Below are 22,380 nucleotides of genomic sequence, written 5' to 3'. Positions count from 1 at the left end.
AGACAGAGTCTTGCTCTTTCACCCAGGCTGGAGTGCAGTGGCGTGATCTCGGCTCACTACAAGCTCCGCCTCCGGGGTTCAAGCGATTCTCCTGCCTCAGCCTCCCAAGTAGCTGGGACTACAGGCACTCACTACTATATCCGGCTAATTTTTTGTATTTTTAGTGGAGATGAGGTTTCACCATGTTAACCAGGATGGTCTCGATTTCCCGACCTTGTGATCTGCCCACCTCGGCCTCCCAAAGTTCTGGGATTACAGGCATGAGCCACCGCACCCAGCCAAGAATGTTTCTTTCATACGTGAGCACATAGGGTATTTCATGTATTAGCATTAATGTTCCTTATCAAATATGCAATCAGGGGCTCTCTATAGAATCAATTTCAATAAAACAGTTAAGCAATTTTTTAATGGAGTAGGCATTGATTATAATTTTCTCCTCTTCTGACTTTTCAATTCTTCCCAATTAGCCAGTGATAAGAAACTGGAAAGAAAATTTCAAATTGTTTACCATTCACTTGTTTTTTTTAACCTACTGTAGTTTGGAAGGATTAAATTTTAGGCTAGCTGATTCATTTCACAAAAAAATTTATAAAATTTATAATTCATTTCACACAAAAAAAGTTTTAATAAAAAATATTTCCCTTTGTATTTGAGCTCAACTTAATTCTCAATTGGCCCTGAAATGTGAGAATTGTTTTCCTAAAATATTGATGGATGTCAGAAGGCCACAAGAAGTGAGACCTCATCTTTTTTGCTCTATGAGAACATCAATCTTTCTATTTCTGTGAAAAATAAGGAAAGGTAGGTGGACTCTGGTGATTTCCTGATGTTGAAGTTAATAAAAAGCTCCATTCAAAACTACGATATTCGGCACAATTAATCTTCCCTGTTAATATAAACAGAAGAAAGAGTAAACTATTTGATCTCAAAGCTCTGGTTTAATTTCTAGCAAGTACGATTACTTCGGTTCATAATTTAAAAAATGAAAGCTTTAGATTTCTATTCCAAGCCATTACTTGATAAATCATTCATTAAAGAACATGAATGCACAAAACAAAAATAAACTTTTTTTTTAAAATTTGGTAAGTGTCAGTGTTCTAGGATGTGCTGGCCATTCTTTGTGGAGGTCCTCAGAACCACCCTCTACCCTTCCAGCCCCAGTGTCACCCTTCCTGCCCGAGTGTCACCCTTCCTGCCCGAGTGTCACCCTGCTCCCCTCCCAGCTGACTTCCAGTTGGTTTTGGCTAATGAGAGACACCCACAGAAACAGTAAGGTTTCAGAAGTCAGAGCTCAAAAAGTTTCTTCCCTACTCACTCCTGTTTCCAGGTTCTGACAAGAAAATTCTTTTACTTCTATGACTGTGGCTCCTGCCAGACCTTTGTGTTCCCCGGCTGCTGCCTTCTGGGGATCTGGCAGCAACCGTTCCTCCCTCTGCGCCTCTGCTGTAGGTAGTAAAGGCTTTCTGCTAGTGCTTGTCTTTGGTTGCCACAACGTCACCTGGTGGGTCCCTTCACTTTTCTTTACAGCCTGTTCCTTTAAACTATCTGAGCAAATCATGCTTTCTTTCTGGGCCTTGACTAATGCAGTAGTGCATTTTAAAAATCTGACTAATATCACATTGCATTGCTTAGAAAAATATCATAAGAAAAATAATTCTTTGAGAAGTAGCATATTTGTGAAAGTAGATCTATTTAGGAATTAAAATGCTATTAGATTGGCAGGCAAATGTTATATTTTTGTATTCTCACTCTATTTTCTAGAACTGAAAACTAAGTTCTAGCTTAGACTGCAATGCACACGGTATACTACAAAGAGAGACGATAAAATTGCAGGATGAGAGTATAAAGTACAAGGTAAAACCTTATTGAAACAAAATAAGCACAACTCTATGTACAGGTTGTATGTGTTTATATATAAGAGCCAAGGCCGGGTGTGATGGCTCACGCCTGTAATCTCAAGACTTTGGGAGGCCAAGGCGGGTGGATCACTTGAGCTCAGGAAGTTCGAGACCAGCCTGGGCAACATGGAAAAACCTTGTCCCTACCAAAAATACAAAAACTTAGCCGGGTGTGGTGGCACTCACTTGTTCTCCCAGCTTCTCAGGAGGCTGAGGCACAAGAATTGCTTGAACCTGGGAGGCAGAGGTTGCAGTGAGCGAAGATCACACCACTACTGCACTCCAGTCTAGGCGACAGAGCGAGACTCTGTCTCAAAAAAAAAAAAAAGAAGAAGAAGAAGAGCCAAAACAAGGATACATAAGGATACATACCAGCCTGTCAGCCTGTTATGTATCATTGGTTACCTCAGTGGGGTTGGGGTGATGGTAGTGGCAATTATTAACATTTTCTTTATACAATTCTTTTAAAAATGTTCCTTTTGTAATTCAAAATATTCAAGAACAAATTTCAAAAGAGTCTGTCTTAACAAACATTTACATTCTTATAATCCAGAAGCTAGTCATCAAACACACCTCAGTATCATCATTTGTTCCAATATAAATATACTCACTTCCTAAATATGTGCTACTGCAAAGTAGATCTTATTCCTTTCTTATTCTGGTTGAATCATACAACCATTATCCAGATTGAAATAAAAAATATAATTGTATTTATTATCCATGTTAAGGTTAAATAGAAGGTAAGAAGTTTCAAAGTTTAAATTGCATTATCATGGAAAGTAGGGAAGAAAGGAAATAAAGCAGCAACACATAAAACATTTATATTTGTGATATTCGATATTTTTTCTGGGACATCCAGTGTTCTAGTTACATCGGCCATCTCGAATTCATGCCTTCATTTGTTCAGTAAGTGTGTAGTGTGTGATGATTGTGACGGATGCTTCTCTACTAGGCAAAGTAATTTTTAGAGCCTCACTACTCTTAGTCTGCAAAGTTCATTGCCAGCATTATCACCACAGCAAGTGTCTATGCTGATTTAAATAATAACCATATAGCAGCAATTATAGCCACATAAAATGCATTTCAAGACACACATTTATGTCTAAGGACTTCAAGTCCCCTAACCAAACAACTTAAGTAGAATAAACCTAAATAAGTTTTAAGTCAAAAGCAGGGGAATCAAAACAATTACAAGCCTCCTGTCTTAGAAGAAAATGATGATGCTTATTGGCTTAACCATATAAAATAGTGTATATACGTTTACTAGACATGAACAATTTGGAACAAATTTTGAGTGTACCTATAAGTGTGTAAAATGTATATTTTATGTATTGGGAATAATATTCATAAATATATTCCTCCAATGTTGTAAAAAATGCATGCACCCTCACTACGCTAGTGATTTTACAGTTTAATGAAGCCATTTTGTTTTAATTGCAAATGTCTACCACCGTAGAAGTTTCTTGGCTTTTCTCCATTAAGCCTAACACTTTGAACACCCAAGTTCACTTTTTTTTTTTTTGTCTTGAGACGGAGTCTGGCTCTGTCGCCAAGCTGGAGTGCAGGGCGCAATGTTGGCTTGCTGCAACCTCTGCCTCCCGGGTTCAAGAGATTCTCCTGCCTCAGCCTCCCGAGTAGCTGGGACTACAGGCAGGCACCACCACGCCCGGTTAATTTTTTGTATTTTAATAGAGACAGGGTTTCACCGTGTTGGCCAGGATGGGCTCCATCTCCTGACCTCTTGGCCTCCTCGGCCTCCCAAAGTGCTGAGATTACAGGCATGAGCCACCGCACCCGGCCAAGTTCACATTTTTAAAGACTCCATCTGATGCCTGACAAATTGGTATAATAATAGATTGACATTTGTTGTTTTACTCTAGGTCCAATTTAGAAGATGATTTCCATTTTCTCTCTTTCTGTCTCACTGAAGGCAACTGATCTGTCAATCAAAACTTTAGATTTATAAGATTTATAATTTTTTCTGTAATAAAAGACGTGCTATTTACAGAGTTCTTGTGCAAAAGTAGTTTAAGTGAACCCAATTAATAATTCAAGAATGACTTTGTAAGATTCTTCATCTATTACATTTGAATTCATTTTACATTTTACATTTTACATCTATTACATTTGAATTCATTTTAATGAAAAAGCCTTTCAAAGTTGTCTTTCCAAAGGGAAGATTAATACACTATTTCTTAGAGATACCATCTAAAAAAGTTAGTATCTTTCTTTCTTTTTTCTTTTTTGGAAACTCGCGGTGGTGGTAATGTGAGTGAGTTTGTCAATCTTTGCCCCTACTGTGAATTTGAGAAGCAGAGGAAGAGAAAAAGAGAAAGACCCCCCCGCCCCCTGCCTCCCGCCTCCCGCCTCCGCCCCTCCCTCTAGCACACAGCAGGCGCGCAAGGAGTGCAGTGTTAGCTGCTGCTGGACTGAGCTCCTCATCCTACACTTGCAGGGGTTGCTCTTTTGGACAGAAAGCTGGAATAAAACGTAAATTTTAGACATCCACCAAGGCCAGGACTAGGGTGAAGGGACTAACGCACTAGTCTCAGGAGCAACTGTTAAGTAACGCTAATCCTGAATGAATGAAATAGTTTTAAAATTGAATGTAATCGCAAAGAAAAAAAAAACCCATGATAGACAAAATATTAAAACTTTAAATAAAGGCTTGCACTCGCACAACCCAGGCTCACCGGCCTCTCCCTGCTCCTGGCCCGGTTTCCCAGCTTGGTTCTCTACAAGTCAGAATTCCTAGCAAAATCAAAGTGTGCGCGCGTCTGCCCGAGTACACGCCGCAGAGTTATTTCTGCCCCATCTTCCCTATTTGAACTCAAACAGGACAGGATTTTCCTGGGTGCAGCCCCTGCGTTGGGTGAACAGCGGAGTGATAAAGCCTGGCGTTCTCCACCTGCAGGCGGAGGCTGACGGCGCGGTCTTCGGAGCGAGTCCGTGCACCACGGCCGCCCCGCCCCGGTGGGAGAGAGGGACGGAGGAAGCTGCCGGTATAACGGGAGGAGAGCGCCAGGCGGAGCTGGGGCGTCCCTCCCGCTCGCTTCTTGACTCGCGTTGCTGCCGGCCGCCTCCCGCGCCTAGTGTCCGGGACGCGCCTGAACCTGCCGCCTCCGTGCCTGGGGCGGCGCCGCGCGGCCCCGAGCGCTCCAGAAAGCTGCGGTGCGAGTCCGCGGGGCCGACCTCGGAGACGCAGCTGGGGCCGGGCGCGGCTTGGCGGGAGGGTCTGCAGCGCCGAGGGAGGCTGCTAGTGCGTGAGGAAGAGAGCTAGAGACTGGACAGGGGAGACAGAGCAGCGTCAGAGCCGCGCAGGGGACGGGAGTGAGAGCAGGAGCGACGCAGAGCAGCCGTCGCCGTGCCCGGGTCTCAGGGCGCCTGGCTGAAGTGAGCATGGCTTCAGTGGCCTGGGCCGTCCTCAAGGTGCTGCTGCTTCTCCCCACTCAGACTTGGAGCCCCTTGGGAGCAGGAAATCCACATAAGTACAGCAAATGGTTTAAAACTTGCGCTAGGCTGTCTGGAAAACTTTGTTTTTTTTTTTTTTTTTATTATCGGTAATATTTGGAAGTGGAATTGCAGAACATGCTCCTGAACATGAAGTACCTTAAAAAAATATTTGGAATTGCAACCCGAAAAAGACGATTTTGTTTACAATAGACTTTCCTCTTGTGGGGGAGTCTAAGATATACCATGCATGTTTTGAATTTTTAATCGATGTACTTGAATATTCATTGAGAAAGTGGACGTTTCTGTAAAACCTGAAAAGAGCATCTTAATAAGAGATTAGCCTGCAAATGCTGTCATTTATTCCTTTTTAGGATTGTAATATTTTGTAGGAATTAAGTCTAACAGGGAAAAAACTGGCAGACATTACATCATACTGCATCAACTTAGATGTTAGCAGCTTACAGTTTTGCCGACCTTGGCAGCTTCAGAGTTAAAATGCTAATTAACTTCCATGCAGTATAGGGACAGAGCGCCTGTAGGCGAAACTAAATTAATAACCTGCCCTAACTACTAAGGGAATAACACTTGAACACCCCTGTCAGGGGCTTCGTTTCTCATAGTAGAAAGTTCTTGCTTAAAGACAAAACTCAGCCAGTCATTTAGGTAATCTTGAAAATGATTCCTCTCTGGATGCTAATATTTTACATTATTTAATTTGCCATCAGGTTCCCTGTTTTTTATTTTCCTTAATTTGGTAAACACCTAGGAAGCCTTTATTTCTAGAATGGGCTATGATTCTAATGTAATGATGATATTCCAGACCGATGAGCAAAACATAATGTACCCATATTTTATCACACATAAAAATGTTTACACAACATTGCACATTTTTTTTTGGCTTGGAGTAAATCTCTATCAGAGAGCTTTCTTTCTTGATTAATCAAACCATGAGATTAGAATTTTTAAAATGTCTTCCTCTTCCTTCTCAAATCACTTTTATTTTTCTTTCAGTGGCATCTCCCCGCTGTCAGCCTCAGCCCTCTCCTACCAAAATCTCTTTCGAAATAAGTTCCAATAAACGCCAGTGGCCATGTTTGGAAATTTAGATTATTGCAGGATAACCAAGGGTAGCTTTCAGCAGTTCTCCTAAACTGTCATGAAAAGTTTGCCGTAGCTCAGTGCTGTTCTGCCCGCGGGCTCAAGGGTGGGTTGGTTCTTCACACACAGGGCACGCACATGGGTTCATGAACTCACTGTGCATCATGATTCAGTTGCGCCTCAGTTAATCCTACACTTGGTGTGCCCTTCCAAAAAACAAGCTCCGGATTCCTTTGGTCAGATGCTGTACCGTGTTTCAGATTCAACTTTAATCTGCTTTTGTGAGAAGCCTTTGTGAATAAAACGTTGTTACTTAAATCAAAATCCTTGGGTCTTGTAATGGAAACTGCCGTTTGGCTTAAATAAACATATAAATGAGTTACTTATAGAAAGGCATGCTAGAGTAATTGACCAATCAACTGGCAAAATACAACAACAAAAAAAGTCACTAGAGGTCACTCTTACTATTGAATAAACAGGGCTTCAAAAAGACCTTCCTGGAGAAAAGCAAAGCAATGAAATCTGAGTGAGACCCTGCCACCACCTTTCCTGTTTTTGTTGCATAGTTGTGATTACTTTTTATTCTCAGGATTAGTTGTATTGATAGTTATTTTGCTTGGAATCCAGTGGAAGGATTACAAAGCCCATAGAAATTAAGCTCTTCTCGTTTATAGTGAACATTCTTTTTGGAGGAGGGGAGGGCAGGGACAGATATTCCAAATGGACTCAGCACCAGACGGGACTCTCGCGAGTTGCTGAGTGACACGTAAAATTTCAATACTACTACTGTGGGTGTTTTCAGTCTTCTTTCGTTGATGAAACTTAGTATCCTCATATCTAATAAATTTTACTAATTTTAAATTACCTTTTAGATCAAGTAATTCTTCCAGATAAAACTATGTAACTGTAATAATTATACCACCTTCAATACCAAGAAGAAAGTCAATAAGGACATCTAAAAGTTTCCTTCTCATGTAGACACCATGAGTTGCTCACGTTATTCACAGCTGGTTTTCGAGAAGCACGTTGGCCACCCACGAAGGCAGCCTGTTGATGATGGCATGAAATGGCTCTTCATGGGAAGAGCTCTATAGGCCGGGCACAGTGGCTCGCGTCTGTAATCCCAGCACTTTGGGAGGCCGAGGTGGGTGGATCACCTGAGGTCAGGAGTTCGAGACCAGCTTGGCCACCATGGTGAAACCCTGTCTCTACTAAAAATACAAAAATTAGCCGGGCGTGGTGGCAGGCATCTGTAATTCCAGCTGCTCGGGAGGCTGAGGCAGGAGAATCGCTTGAACCTGGGAGATGGAGGTTGCAGTGAGCCGAGATCCCACCATAACACTCCAGCCTGGGCAACAAGAGCAAAACACAAAACTCCGTCTCAAAAAAAAAAAAAAAAAGCTCTCTAAACATTTGGCATTGTGGGGATTATGTGCAGTTTATCTGAATGTTATTTGACCCGACAAATACATGGAAAGCTTTGTTAGGAAGATTCTGCATGAAGGGAAATATTTTCCTAACTTCAGTGCCCATAGACTTGCAGTGAGTGAAAGGTCACTTACTGCTCTCATTGAGTCCCTGAAAACAGCAGGAAGCATCAAGAGAAAGATTGAACTCTGGGCACTGATCCCAGGGATACACAAACAAATGGCTGGGCAGATTTTGCAGAAATTCCTGTAATTGGTAAAATGCTGAGAATAGCCTTTGATGTAACTTTTCAGTGGGTTAATTTATTCATTACTTAGCCTAAAACACTTTTAATTTTAATTGCCTCAATTTTTTCCCCTAAATGGTTATGTTTTGCAAGTTCGCCAGCCAGCCTGGGGAAAGACGGGTAAGCCTACTATAGAGTGTGTGTGGGTTAGTTAGGAAACTCACTTAGATGTGAAATGTGTCAGGAAAGAGATCTCACAGAGTGTAGGAATAATTATTTTTACAGATGTTTCATTTTGGACCTTTTAGTAATACCATTTAAAGAGAGATTCTGCAGATGAGTAACAGACTCTTAATTTTAGTGTCAAATGGTACTCTATAAAAAATGGAGTTCAGGCCGGGCGCGGTGGCTCACACCTGTAATCCCAGCACTTTGGGAGGGTGAGGTGGGTGGATCACTTGAGGTCTGGAGTTTGAAACCAGCCTGGACAACACGGTGAAACCCCGTCTCTACTAAAAATATGAAAAAATTTCAGGGCATGGTGGCAGGTGCCTGTGAGGAGGCAGTGAGCTGAGATCGTGCCACTGCACTCCAGCCTGGGTGACAGAGTGACACTCTGTCTCAAAAAAATAACAAAAAAACCCCAAAAAATGTAGTTCAGTTGCCTTTATTCATTTTCACCAAACTCTACACAAACAGTACGGAGCATAAGTAGCCCATGGAAATGATAATCAATTCCAAGACATTGGTTTGGTCATGAAAAAAGAAAAATCAAATTACTTGGCATTCTTCTTCCTCTTCCTCTCCCCTTCTCTTTTTGAACAATTCAGTCCAAGGTCATTCAGTTCAGCTTAGGCATCCATGCTGGGTAGTGGGGAGGCCCAGGACCGTGGCAGAGCATTCAGAAACCAGCAGGGTAAGGAAAGCATCCACAGTGTAGCAAGGGTGGGGACCTGGAGAGACAGGAGACAGCACTGGTGGTGACCTATAGCAAGTTGTCAGAGGTTGAGTGGAGTGAGGAAAGAGGCATTGGAATGATTGACAGAGGCTAAGAAGACAAGGCAACTAAATACTATTCTGCATTAAATGCTTATGTTATAAAGGACATGATTGGAAATTGGTGAAACTTGAACAAGATTGGGGATTAAATATTGGAACTTTATCCATGATGACTGTGATGATCATATTATGGTTATATAGGAGAACATCTTTGTTGTAGGAAATGTACATTGAAGTATTCAGGGGTGATACAGCATATTAGCATAGTTCTTCCATGTTTTCTGTAAATTGGTTTCAAAATCAAATGGTTACTTTAAAAAACCATTCAAAATTGTGTTTAAAGGAAACATGGACCAATAGAAAAACTCAGAATAAGTAAATGTAGTTAAATTGATGCATTTTACCTAAGAGATGTAGATTAAAAATAAAGAGGCTGAAAAAAAACAATTATGAGAAATAACAGTTCGTTTATGTATGTCTCTAAATCAAATTAGCCTGGATTTCTGAATGACAAAGATGTAATTGGCACTGGGATTGTTCCCCATTCTTTTTGGGACGTTTATTGCCTAGGACATCTGTATCAGTCTTCGAAGTACTTTTTAAAGCTTGAATATCTGAATGAACCCGTCAGACTGACTGTTATCTGGTCTTCTGTAATGGGCTTCCGCACCTTTGACGAGACTCTTAGCTGAAAGGTTGCTTGTCCCTAGGCCCGGTTGCTCCACGTTGTAAGAGCATTTGCAAACGCTTGGTTTTACATGATTGTGCACATGTCAAGTCTGCTCTGTCACTGTAGAAAAAATATTCCTTTTCCACTTGACATATAAAGCATGGAATTGTTTGTTTTAAATGTCTTTTGTCAAGGATTTCATATATCTGCTTGACGTGTTGTGGTACTGTATAAAAGACAAGTGTGAAATTCATTGCTTACTATGATAGCCTTAACACGACTACAGTAAATCTAGTTTTCTAAAAAACGGAGTATATGCTTAGCTTGGTTAAAATTTTATAATGAAATGACTACTCTGGTAATAAATATTAAAAAATATCATAAAGTGGGGGCTAAAAAATGATACTGCATGTGTTCCAGTTAATGAACATTTTTGTTGTAATAATACGAAGAGTGATTGAAATCTGAAAACATTTGAGATTTTAAAATAGTTTTAACCTTGTAACTACAGGATTGTAATTTAAGTAGCATACCTACTTAATAAGGCAGCAATTAAAATTATTGCTAAGAATTAAATTACCAAGAAGACATGGTCTAGTATGTATTGCCTGGGCTGTGGTTTGAATTACTTTTAATTAAGTATAATCACATTTTTTGAGAGTATAAAAACAGAGGATATTACTTGCTTCTAATTCACAGATGTGTTTATGAACCATTGGCAATTACAGCATTTGCAATTGAGGGCCTAAGAAAATTTTAGGTTAAAATAACATGTTGAGTTATGCCTTATAACTCAGTATATGCTTATACTTTATATGCTTTATGGAGTTTTGAATATATAATATATATGTATAATAGTATATTTTTCCAGGAAATATATAACTTGTAGTTCCTTGACTTATTTTGTAACTAAATCCCATGGAAAAAAGTTTATTGAATGTCATTGTTTCTCAGGCAAATGTAGAGTTAAGAAAATGATATATATATACATATTGGGAATCTTTTAGAAGGCTTGGACTTGGTAGCTCAAATCTTCTACAACCTTGAGCTTCAACTTTCTGGCCGGTTCAAGAGATCTCTTCACTGTCCTTTTCATGTAAAGTCAATGTTTATGGAACACTAGACCAAAATGGAAGGATTCCTTTGGAAACTGAACAAACAGTTGAATTAGTCTTTGACTTGATGGAGTGATTTGATCTAAAATATTACCTAACCGTTTTAGATATCTGTTCAATCAGAGCTGCCTCCATATATGCAAATGATAATTTGTCTTGGATTTTTAGATATCTTAGCCCTCAGACAAGCTAATAGAGTTTAAATTGAACCTGGTGTTTTAGGGACAGTTGAATTGTTGGGATGCCCAGGAAAACAGTCACATTTTTCTACAAGTATGTGTTTATTTGGCTGGAATGTGGGTGAGGAAGAAGTTATATGTGAATTAAAAGAAAGATTGTCTCAATGTCACATGTTAAATTAAATTACAGGCAGAACTAAGCGAGTTTACGATTGCTGCCGCTGGGAGCAGAGACTATTTTCAGCTTACATTTATAACAGAAGGAGGGATTTAAAATATAGTATTATGCCTACCCTGATACAGCTAACCTCCTCCACCCGCCCCTCCATGCACATACAGCTACATGCTTACCCTCGAACTATGAAAGAAGGGTGTCTCTCAGACATCCTATATTTAACCCAGCTTTGGACACGTCCCTGGAGTCTAGTCTTTTTGAACACAGCAGTGAAGATAAGGAATGGGGAGGGGGCTTTGATTTCAAGACCACTAGATATAGTAGATTCCTAATTTAATTTCAAAGACAAATCAATTATTAACACAAATACAAAGAGAACAGTATTTTAAGCAAAGCTTCTGTTGTGGCAGATAAACTTTTAAGGTGTCTCCCAGTTGGGTTTCTATTTTAGATGACTTTTTGAAGAATATATCTCTGTAATAGAAATATGTTTGATGATTCTCATCTTTAAGAACTTCACATTTGCTATAATTAAGATATTTATGAATTTATTGTAAGAAGGTTGGTAGAAAAAGTAATGCAACATCAAATGGGAAAATAAATATATAATATTATATAGCTGTTCAAATATAGGGTTTATGATTCTTGAGCTAATTTGAACTGCTGTACAACACCAGGAGAAAAGTCCACAGCTGTGTTAAGAAAGCTCTTATAAGCTTATGAAATTTTATAGCACAGGCTGTCACAGAACCTACAATTTACAAACATTTGTAAAAGTTAGGAAAGTTTTGGGTTCCTCAATAGAAAATGATGTTGCTTAGCTTTAAGAAAGTAACTAATTTATCTCTTTTTATTCTTGTCCACTAACAAAGGAACCCAAATGGTCTTTTAAAATTATAATAAAACTAAGCTAGTAAAATATCACATAGATTTTGAGATACTGTGAATAACCATAGAAAATAACAATTTGTTGTTCTTCATGTATAAAAATAAGCTTAACATGCTTATCAATACATCTTGAACTATAAGAGATTTATTTCAGCAGTGTTGCCAAAGGGCAAGCAATGCCTGCTGCCTGTAGAAAACTTTGAATTCCCTAAGCTCAGGGCTCCTCACTTGTCATGTAACCCACTGCGTGTGCACACATCCATCTGTGCCCATCCATATTCCCCCAGAGGACTTGGAGGCAAGGGAATTGATGCAAATATGCTGATGCTCATATTGTTTGCTATGCTGTAAGTAATACAGTCCTTTGCTTTGACCCAGGAGTCTTCTGCCGCAACGATGAAACAAACTGGCAGACTCATTTGTTAGCTTGCAAGTAGGGTAAAATCTCTCCTCACGGTTCTCATGATCCGCCCGCCTTGGCCTCCCAAAGTGCTGGGTTTACAGGCGTGAGCCACCGCGCCCAGCCCTGCTTTGTATTTTTAAAGGGTTATAACAAGAAGGACATGCAACAGAGACCAGGTGTGACCCACAAAACCAAAAGTGTTTACTATCTGCGTTTTACAGAAAACCTTTGCAGACTCCTGACTTAGACAAATGCCTTATGATTTTATTCTGAATTAATATGACTCTTTCTACAAACAGTTGTCTTTAAATAAAAAGATTTTACAATTATTGTGTTTTCTTTAACTAGAGTGTGTACTCTCATCCTTTTCCTTACTTTTCAAACTTAGAGTTCCATTATTAGGTTATATATTGTAACTCAAGAGGGTGGGAGTAAGTTCAAGACACTACTTTCCTATATGCTTGGACTGGTGTGGAGTAATACTGCTTACGTCAAAGTCAGGCACTCACCACTGCTTCTTATAAGTACTGTTCTTGTTTCACAAAACAAGCCCACATAGTAAAGGGAAGTGATGTCATAAGCATTGTCATTTGTAATTTAGGTGAAATTAGCTGACGATTGTAGTGAAACTTTTAATATTTAACTTCTACTATTGGAAATAAATGTCTATTTTATCTCTTTCTATTCATAGAACATTCTGGACTGCAAATTTTTATCCTTATGTACCCTAACAGTGTGTTATGTCCTGTTACTTTTTGTGTTGTTGTTAACATTAGAATTTAATCTTTAGTTATATATTTGACTAAAGTACCTAATACCAAAGAAAGTGTTACTAGAAAAGCAAATCTAGGTATTTCCACCCAGTCAGTATAAAAAAATACGTTTTTAAATACTCCCAAATATACATACATCGCAACACACAAAAACACCTATAGGGTAGATATTTAACATATTTTAGATAAATGGTAGTACACAATTATATTTTCAGGTAGCATTTTTCACACTTCACAGCATATCCTAAATAAAATTTGGGCTATGATTTCATTTATTTTAATTTAACCTCCACTTTAATTTTTTTCACTTATACTACATAATGCTAAAATGCATGCTTATTTCTTAGATGAGATTTCACAAAAGAAGCCAAACCTCTTTTCACTTGGTTGGGAAATAATTCCTGTTATAGGAATTTTAGATCTGAATTTTCCCCCGTAATTTCTTATTCTGAATTCCAGGTATTATCTTAAATTTGATCAGTTCTAACCTTGCCCCTTCTCACCTCTCTAATGAATGGTGAAGCTCATCGCATCATACCGATGTCCATAAACAAGCGGGAGCAGCAGTCTTCATATAGTAAATACTGTGGAATAGTTTTGTCATAGTTGTTGCTTTTGTCCTATTTTTGTCTTCATATTCAGGCTGCCTGGGCAACAGCTCTGGCTCTGGATGTAAAAGCCCCCTGGGAGGGTTTCAGGGCTGCCTAAGGCTCATCACCATTGGTGACAAAGCGGTGGATCCCATCTTAGTACAGCAGGGGGCGCTGGGGAGTTTCAGGGACCTCCAGATAGACTCCTGCGGCATCACAGACAGGTAAGGGCCATCCTAGGTCACTTTAGCTTGCCTGTTTTCAAAGTTGAAGAAAGCAAATGTAGACAGCTGGAAAAAGGCATTCCGTTCTCTTTTTTGTTGTTGTTATCTTTCGAGAGGGAATGAAATAGTCATAATTACTATGAGGATTAGAAAACTTCATCTTGGCCGGGCGTGGTGGCTCACACCTGTAATGCGGCTGAGGCTGGCGGATCACGAGATCAGGAGATCAACTTCATCCTGGCTAACATGGTGAAACCCCGTCTCTACTAAAAATACAGAAAAAAAAAATTAGCCAGGCGTGGTGGCAGGCGCCTGTAGTCCCAGCTACTGGGGAGGCTGAGGCAGGAGAATGGCATGAACCCGGGAGGTGGAGCTTGCAGTGAGCAGAGATCGCGCCACTGCACTCCAGCCTGGGTGACAGAGCGAGACTCCGTCTCAAAACAAAAGCAAAAACTGCATCTCTAATGGAATAAATAGCATTTTTTAAATGATAGTATTTTATTAGAAGATATACACCTTATGAATTTTACCTTAATATGATCCCGAGTTGCTCAGCTAATAGTTATAAAGCTCGCTTTTGCAACCACACACCCATCAGTTGGATGATATTTTTCCAGGCAGAGGAATTTGCCAGGTTACTATTCATCAGCCACCCAACCCCACATGTTCTGCAGAGAAAATAAAAAGTAATTTCTGCTAGAAAAGTTTGAATCATAAAGACGGATGAAGATGTGTGCAGAAGGACATACTCAATGAAATATGGAGGTTAGACAAGAAAAACATTTAATTCAAATAAGTATTACAACCACAGTTATGCTAGTTGTGCCATAATTTTACAAAGATTTTGGCTGAGAAGAATCATAGGGTCACACCTGGAAAAATAATATTTCTACATACAATTTGCCCCAGTACATTTGGTATTTACTTTCAGTGAATAAATAAATGCTACAGATTTAAAAATTAAAAAGCGATAATCTGGCCCAGCGCGGTGGCTCACGCCTGTAATCCCAGCACTTTGGGAGGCCGAGGCGGGCGGATCACGAGGTCAGGAGATCGAGACCATCCTGGCTAACATGGTGAAACCCCGTCTCTACTAAAAATGCAAAAAATTAGCCAGGCATGGTGGCGGGCGCCTGTAGTTCCAGCTACTCGGCACGCTGAGGCAGGAGAATGGCGTGAACCCGGGAGGCGGAGCTTGCAGTGAATGAGATCGTGCCACTGCACTCCAGCCTGGGCAACAGAGCCAGACTCTTCTCAAAAAAAAAAAAAAAAAAAAGTTATATCTGCATCTGGTAGAACTTTCAAAACCTGCCTTCTTCATGGAGTAAATTCAGTTAGTCAATTCTGTTTTAAACATTAACTGTAAAATTATCCTCTCTGGCTAAACAGGTTTTAATTTATAACTCACAGTTAGTGACATACTAAAAAAACGCAATTACTACTAAATGAAAAGTTCATTCATATGGACTTTATTTATTCAGCATGGAATAATTTCCCCCTGTGAACATTCTGTTGATTTGTAGGAAAAATGAATTAATTCAAAGATGAGGAGTATATGAAGTGTAAGAATTTGTCAAGTACCTCTCATTCTTGACCTTGAGATTTGAATTCTTGGCACACAGCTGGGACTGCATTTACATCTCAACACCAGCTCCAGAACCCCACTCTGTAGTCGTGGGAAGGGTAGTTGGGAAGGTTTCTGGCCATTTGCTCACTTAATATAATCCCAAGTTGCTCAGCTAACTAGCCAGGGAGCTCAGCTCTCTCTGAGTTAAGGGGTAATGTCCCATGGGCCCACACTGTGAGTGACAACAGCTGTCAGCTCAACTGTGATGCAAGTGTGATTTTCTTCACTTGTATGACATTATTTTGATACCTTGTTAATTACTCACAAAATATGATCCATTTGCAGTGTTTCTGTTATGAGATATATATTGTGAGGCTGCCTCTTTTCAGAGATGATCCATGTTGCCTGCTTTGTGCATGTAGCTCCCAAAGTACAAAACTATTGTTTTTACTGTTATAGGCTGTTTTGTTTTAACCTTAAAGTCCCAAGAGTTACATTGGTGCCTAACTTGGTATCTAAGATCCCACATTTTAAAAAGCCCTCCAAATTGTACCCCAAAGTTACTTGTAAACATGCTCAACTAAGCATGTATGTGTGAGCCACACTTAAACTTCAGCCATGATGTGTACAATAATCATTGCAGATAAGGATTTTAAGAAAGCACTTTTAAATCATTTTCAAATAGGGCTACAAATAAAGGCTATTTACTATTTCATTCCCAAATTCAGTAACGTAGAAGACTAGCTCCTCTGAGATTATTTTGAAAACCTGAATTTTATAAAGCAATAAAATTAGAAAACTTTGGGGACACAAAATGACATCCTACAGAGTTAAAATTAAAGACCTTTGCTGTTCCCTTTACATAAAGTTTTCAAAACCTGAAAATACTGAAAATTCACTTTTAAGTATCCTGAAAACAGGCCTGTAAGCATCTATCAGCCTTTCTTTGTTGTTGTTAACAAACAAACAAACAAACAAACAAAAATCTAATTGTATTAGTCTGTTCTCATGCTGCTAATAAAGATATACCCAAGACTGGGTAATTATAAAGAAAAAAGGCTTAATGGATTCACAGTTCCACATGGCTGGGGAGGCCTCACAATGATAGCAGAAGGTGAAGGAGAAACAAGACACGTCTTATATGGCAGCACGCAAGAGAACCTGTGCAGGGAAACTCCCCTTTATAAAACCATCAGATCTCGTGAGACTTATTCACTATCATGAGAAAAGCCTGAGAAAGATCTGCCCGCATGATTCAGTTACCTCCCACAGGTTCCCTCCCATGACACGGTGGGAATTATGAGAACTACAATTTAAGATGAGATTTGGGTGGGGACACAGCCAAACCATATCACTAACTCACAAAGTAGAAACATATGTTACTCAAATACCAGACCTAAAAATCCTACTTAGGGACAGATAAGGGGTATGAAGTTATCTTTTTTAGTCAAAATTTTAAGCTACGCAAAAAATAGCAATGGGCACTTTGGATGACAGAGTCACAAATAATGGATGTTTATGTTTGGATAGGTGTTTGTTTGTTTGTTTTTTTGAGACAGAGTCTCGCTCTATCGCCCAGGCTGGAGTGCAGTGGCACGATCTCGGCTCACTGCAAGCTCCGCCTCCTGGGTTCATGCCAATCTCGTGCCTCGGCCTCCCGAGTAGCTGGAACTACAGGCGCCCGCCACCACACCTGGCTAATTTTTTGTATTTTTAGTAAAGACGGGGTTTCACCGTGTTAGCCAGGATGGTCTCGATCTCCTGACCTCGTGATCCACCCGCGTCAGCCTCCCAAAGTGCTGGGATTACAGGCGTGAGCCACCACACCCGGCCAGGATAGGTTTTAACTTCTTAATCACCTCTTACATCAAATTCCTATACTGTTTTAAGGTTTGCCCTGTATACCACATGGCAGAGCTTCCAGTGGAGTCCTGTGCTGCGTTCCAACTGGGGCTCCCTGAGCAGGGAGGCCTCCGTCACCTCCTCACCTGGCTGTGCTGACCAGGCTTCTGACCCCACTCCTGCCCTCCCTCTGCCATCTTCCCCTCTGTTGGTCTTCTGCATGCTAGCTACTTCCTCTATTATTTGTAATACATGTAAATTTTTCACAATTGATGTTGTGTTTAGTTGAAGAAAAATAGTGTATACATGTTGATAGTCTCTAGATCACTTAAATAGTTCTTATTTCCAAATATTTTGAACTAAAGTTATTCTCTCCCTGTTGATATCAAACAGCAGTGGTTTTTAATGTTTTTTAAAATTTGTGGAATCTTCAAGTCAGGTATGATCTTAAGATGCTCCATTATATTAAGAAGGAAGGGGAGGAGAGGGAGAAGGATGTGGGGGAAGAGGAACAGCTGCTCTTTTAAAAATGGTATGAGGGTGGGCCCCCACCCCAGCCAACCTTGCCTGTCGCTCCAGCTCCCCCTCTTCTGATCAGTTCACACAGGCTTTTCCATGCCTTGGCCTTTGAAATACTTGAAAAGTTGTGATTCTCATGGCCCCTAACTCTTCTCTGAATGCAGACTAAATGCTCATTAACACCATGTAATTATGGAAGTCTTGGCCCTGAGCTGGTGGTGCAGTGCTGGAGAGCCAGGATAGGGGGCTGGGGGCATGGGGAGGGTAGGGAATGCTGCGGATTCTTCCCAGCCCCTCAGGTTCCCCTCAAAGGATCTCTCCCGAGGCCAAATACAGGCCCCTGGGGCTTTCTGTCAACTTCATACCCCAGTTCTCTGCTGGTCGTCCTTCCACCACAGCCAGGAGGCCTGTCACAACCTCCCGGCCCCTCTTCTGTTACTTCTCTGGGTCCCATGGTGAGGGGCACTGGGGTGCTCCCCGCCTCTGCCGCTCCAGCATGGACTATGATGTCCCTCACGGCCTGGAAGGTCAGTGTCCTTTAGAATCTTCACTCTTTACCAGGTCCTTAGCTGTGTACTCAGCAGTGGGAGACAGCGGCCAGAGGCTGAGATCCAACCCTGCTCAAGGCAGAGGTGGGTCATGGTATTCAGGCCAGGCCTCCAGAAGGTCACACTACCTCTTGGTGACACTCTGTGTCAGGTGCTGGTCAGTTTCCATAGTGTACCCTGCTCCCTGTTCCCCTAACAATCCTGAGAGGCAGGCATGCTAGGCCCCCAATATTATAGTGGGCGGCAGCAGATTCCAAGAATTCTGAAAGTGTGAGACCTCCAACTGTTCTTTTTCAACATTGGCTGGTTCAGGGTCCCTTGAGGTTCCCTATGAATTTTAGGATGGATTTTTGTTTTCTGCAAAAAAAGGCATTGGGATTTTAATAAGAATTGTATTGAATTTGTAGATTGCTTTGGGTCATATTGACATATTACCAGTGTTAAGATTGCTTAAAAAGCAATAACCGACTGCTTATTGCAAATCTAAAAGGTGACAAGATGACCTAAATTAAATGTTCTTCAAAATTTCTGAACCTCTGTCACTATGTGACTGAAGCTGTTCCTGTTTCTTTCTTCTCCCCTCTGTATCTTCCTCCCTGTTTCCCCTTCTTTCTTTTAAAAATGACCACAATATAGTAACGGAGCATGCCATATTTCATAGTTTTATGTATGTAATTGGTTTTGCTAGCCACATGTCAAGTTATTGTGTCACTTGGGACAAAGAAAAAAAGAAATGTGTTGAAAATTCAGCTGTCTCAGAAACCTAATAATCAGCTGCATGCTAATGGATATATTTATCTAAAGTTTGTCAATATAATTAGAGAACCTTGATGGCAGACCCAGTAATCACGTCATGTGGGGTTATCTTGCGTATGCTGCTCTTTCACATTAACCTGTTTTTGGTTAACCTGTTTTTGGTAAGACACTTATTTTTTGATGATTGAAAAAGGGAAACAGCAGTTGTATCTGTTTTCTTTTAGGTGCTTGCCCAGCTACTGTGAGCATGGGGGCGAGTGTTCCCAGTCGTGGGACACCTTCTCCTGTGATTGTCTGGGCACAGGCTATACGGGCGAGACCTGCCATTCCTGTAAGCCTCACACCTCCCTCTCGTTTCTGTCAGCATCTCTTTGTCATTTCATTTTGATTAGTTGTTTATATGTATCTGCATATTTGCAATCATGCAAACACATCAGAAGAGATATTTCAGCATTCAATTTCTAGTTTACTTTTAATCCACCTTATTTAATACAAGGGTGTTGAGACAGTGCACAGAAATACGTGGTACACATAGGATTGAAAAAAGAAACTGGCAAGCAATGGGGAAATAAGTCTAGGAGAATCAGATATAGTAAAAGGTAGAAACTAAATTAAATTAAAAATGCATGATGTTAACAGCTTGTTCCATTACTTGAGTTGGACCATAATTTTAATTCTGAGAATCTTCTCAGTCAAAGAAAGGTGGAAAAACAACCCCTTGCCAGGCTGTCAATGTTGCATTTAAGGTATTTAAAGATTTTTTAACAATCACTGGGATGATGCAATCATGGGATTGTACATGGCAAGATTTTTGAAGAGGTAATGGGATATCAGCTAGAAACTAGAGGACCTTTAAGATCTCTTACAATGACTGTGATTTTCTTTGGTGGTGGTGATGATGATTGTAAAGTGAATAATTGTAAAAGTATTAATGTATTGAGTACTTATGTCAGCCCTCTGCTATTGCTTTGCATATATTAACTCATTTAACCCTAAAGCAGCTGGAAGAAAGTACTATTATCTTCATTGCAGAGTTGAGGACAGAAAGAGGTTAAGTAACTTGGCCCCCAGCTAGTTTGTGGGAAGATGAGGAGTTGAGCTAAGGAGGTTGGCTCCACAGCCTTGGCTCCAGGATGCCTGATTGGTGGTCCATGCACCAGCAGCACCCACAGCCCCTGGGAACCTGTTGCAAGTAAAGACTCTCAGGCCTTACCCAAACCTACTAAATCAGAATCGCTGGAGATGGGGCCCCGAGTCTCTTGTAACCAACCTTCCTCATGCTTCTGGTAGACATTTAAGTGTAAGAACAATGTCTAAGGGATGGCATATTCTAACACTTCTCAACTGCCTCTGCCATATTAAAAATCATCTGTCTTTACTGAAGAATCACCCTCTGTGAATTTCAAAGGCCATGCCGTTTTATTGACCTCTAACCTGTTATAATTAGAACATCACAGAATCTGAAAAGCCTTTTTTTTCTTATTTGTTTTTAACTTTTAGAGTTTTCTTTCTGTATATCTCTACTGACGTTTCTGAGCAACTTCTCCTCAGGAATATTTCGCCCATCCCTGGGTCTTCAAGGAAACAGAGATGCAAAGTCCTCAGTTCCACTTGCTCATCCTGAGTTCCTAATTGAAACTTTTAAGAACTCTTCCGTGAGACATTTGATTTTCACAAAAGCCACAGGAGAAAGGCAGGCTGTGGAGTGTTAAAACCACACTTCATACTTGCAATGAGAATTCTGCGCTCCCAGTCCTGAGGTTCTGTAAAGGATCTGGGCAAAAGAGGAGACAGTCCAGGAGTGACTCTCACAGATTGAAGCATGAAGTATGATTTTTGTACTAGAAGGGTCCCTGTTTATAAAGCTGTGACACATTTTCTTTTTTTTGTTTGTTTGTTTTTTGTTTTTTGAGATGGAGTCTTGCTCTGTCGCCCAGGCTGGAGCCCAGTGGCATGATCTCAGCTCACTGCAAGTTCCGCCTCCCAGGTTCACGCCATTCTCCTGCCTCAGCCTCCCGAGTACCTGGGACTACAGGCGCCCGCCACCACGCCCGGCTAATTTTTTGTATTTTTAGTAGAGATGGGGTTTTGCCATGTTAGCCGGGATGGTCTCGATCTCCTGACCTTGTGATCCACCTGCCTTGGACTCCCGAAGTGCTGGGATTACAGGCATGAGCCACCATGCCCAGCCGCTGTGACACATTTTCTAGGAGTTGAGTGGCCTCTCACACCAGAGGCTGAATGTCTTGATAAGGTCATAGAGTTGGTGCAGGGACCACATCTTTTACTTCTGTGTATCTTTCATCCTCCAGGCATAGTATCTTACCTAAAAGCAGAAGCCTAATCTTGTGTGTTACCTGGAAAATTTATATCTGCCACCACACTCAGCATTGTCTGATTGCATTTAATATTGCAATTAATCAATGAGTTATATTAGTCCATGGTTATTCACTGCAATCAAAATATAACTCCAAAAACTTCTGAGGGAAAATATCAGGAGATTGAAAAAGTATTTCAAGTGTCAGTCTCATCTAATAATTGATGGCTATAGGTAGAAATTTGCCAAGCCCACAGTCATTCACTGTGAGACTAGACTGCCACACCTAGTTGAATAGGTTATTTTGTATTTCTAATTGTATAACATGTATCAATTATGTGCAACTAATTAATTGTATATAATTATTAATTGTATATAACTCATTGTATATAATTAATTATACAATTAAAATCAATTGTATTCAATTAATATATACTATACATTAATACATGTATACATTATCATTTAAAAAGCCAAACAGTTCACATAAAGCACAAGTTCTAGTCACTTTCCTCAATATTTGTCTCCATTCCAAACCTAGTCTGTGCCCTATATTTAAGTATTGTTATTAATTTGAGTGAATCCCACCAGACATATACAAATATATGTATCTATTTAAATCAATATGCCATAAGTGGCAAAAAAATAAAGATTAGCAATGTCCATCTCCTGCAGATATTAATTCCATACCTTGTACTTGGTAAAACATTTA

The 22,380-nt window shown here is 40.3% G+C and overlaps 1 pseudogene; it reads left to right on the top strand.

The window, feature by feature from the left end:
* LOC101930090 (contactin associated protein family member 3B pseudogene) overlaps window positions 13,946-22,380 on the top strand; it is a 50,205-nt pseudogene continuing 41,770 nt past the window's right edge.

This window comes from Homo sapiens, chromosome 9 (genome assembly GCF_000001405.40).
Source record: "Homo sapiens chromosome 9, GRCh38.p14 Primary Assembly".
NCBI classification, from domain to species: domain Eukaryota; kingdom Metazoa; phylum Chordata; class Mammalia; order Primates; family Hominidae; genus Homo; species Homo sapiens.
Note: the sequence above shows the minus strand (reverse complement) of the source record. Positions and strands in the feature narration are given on the sequence as shown.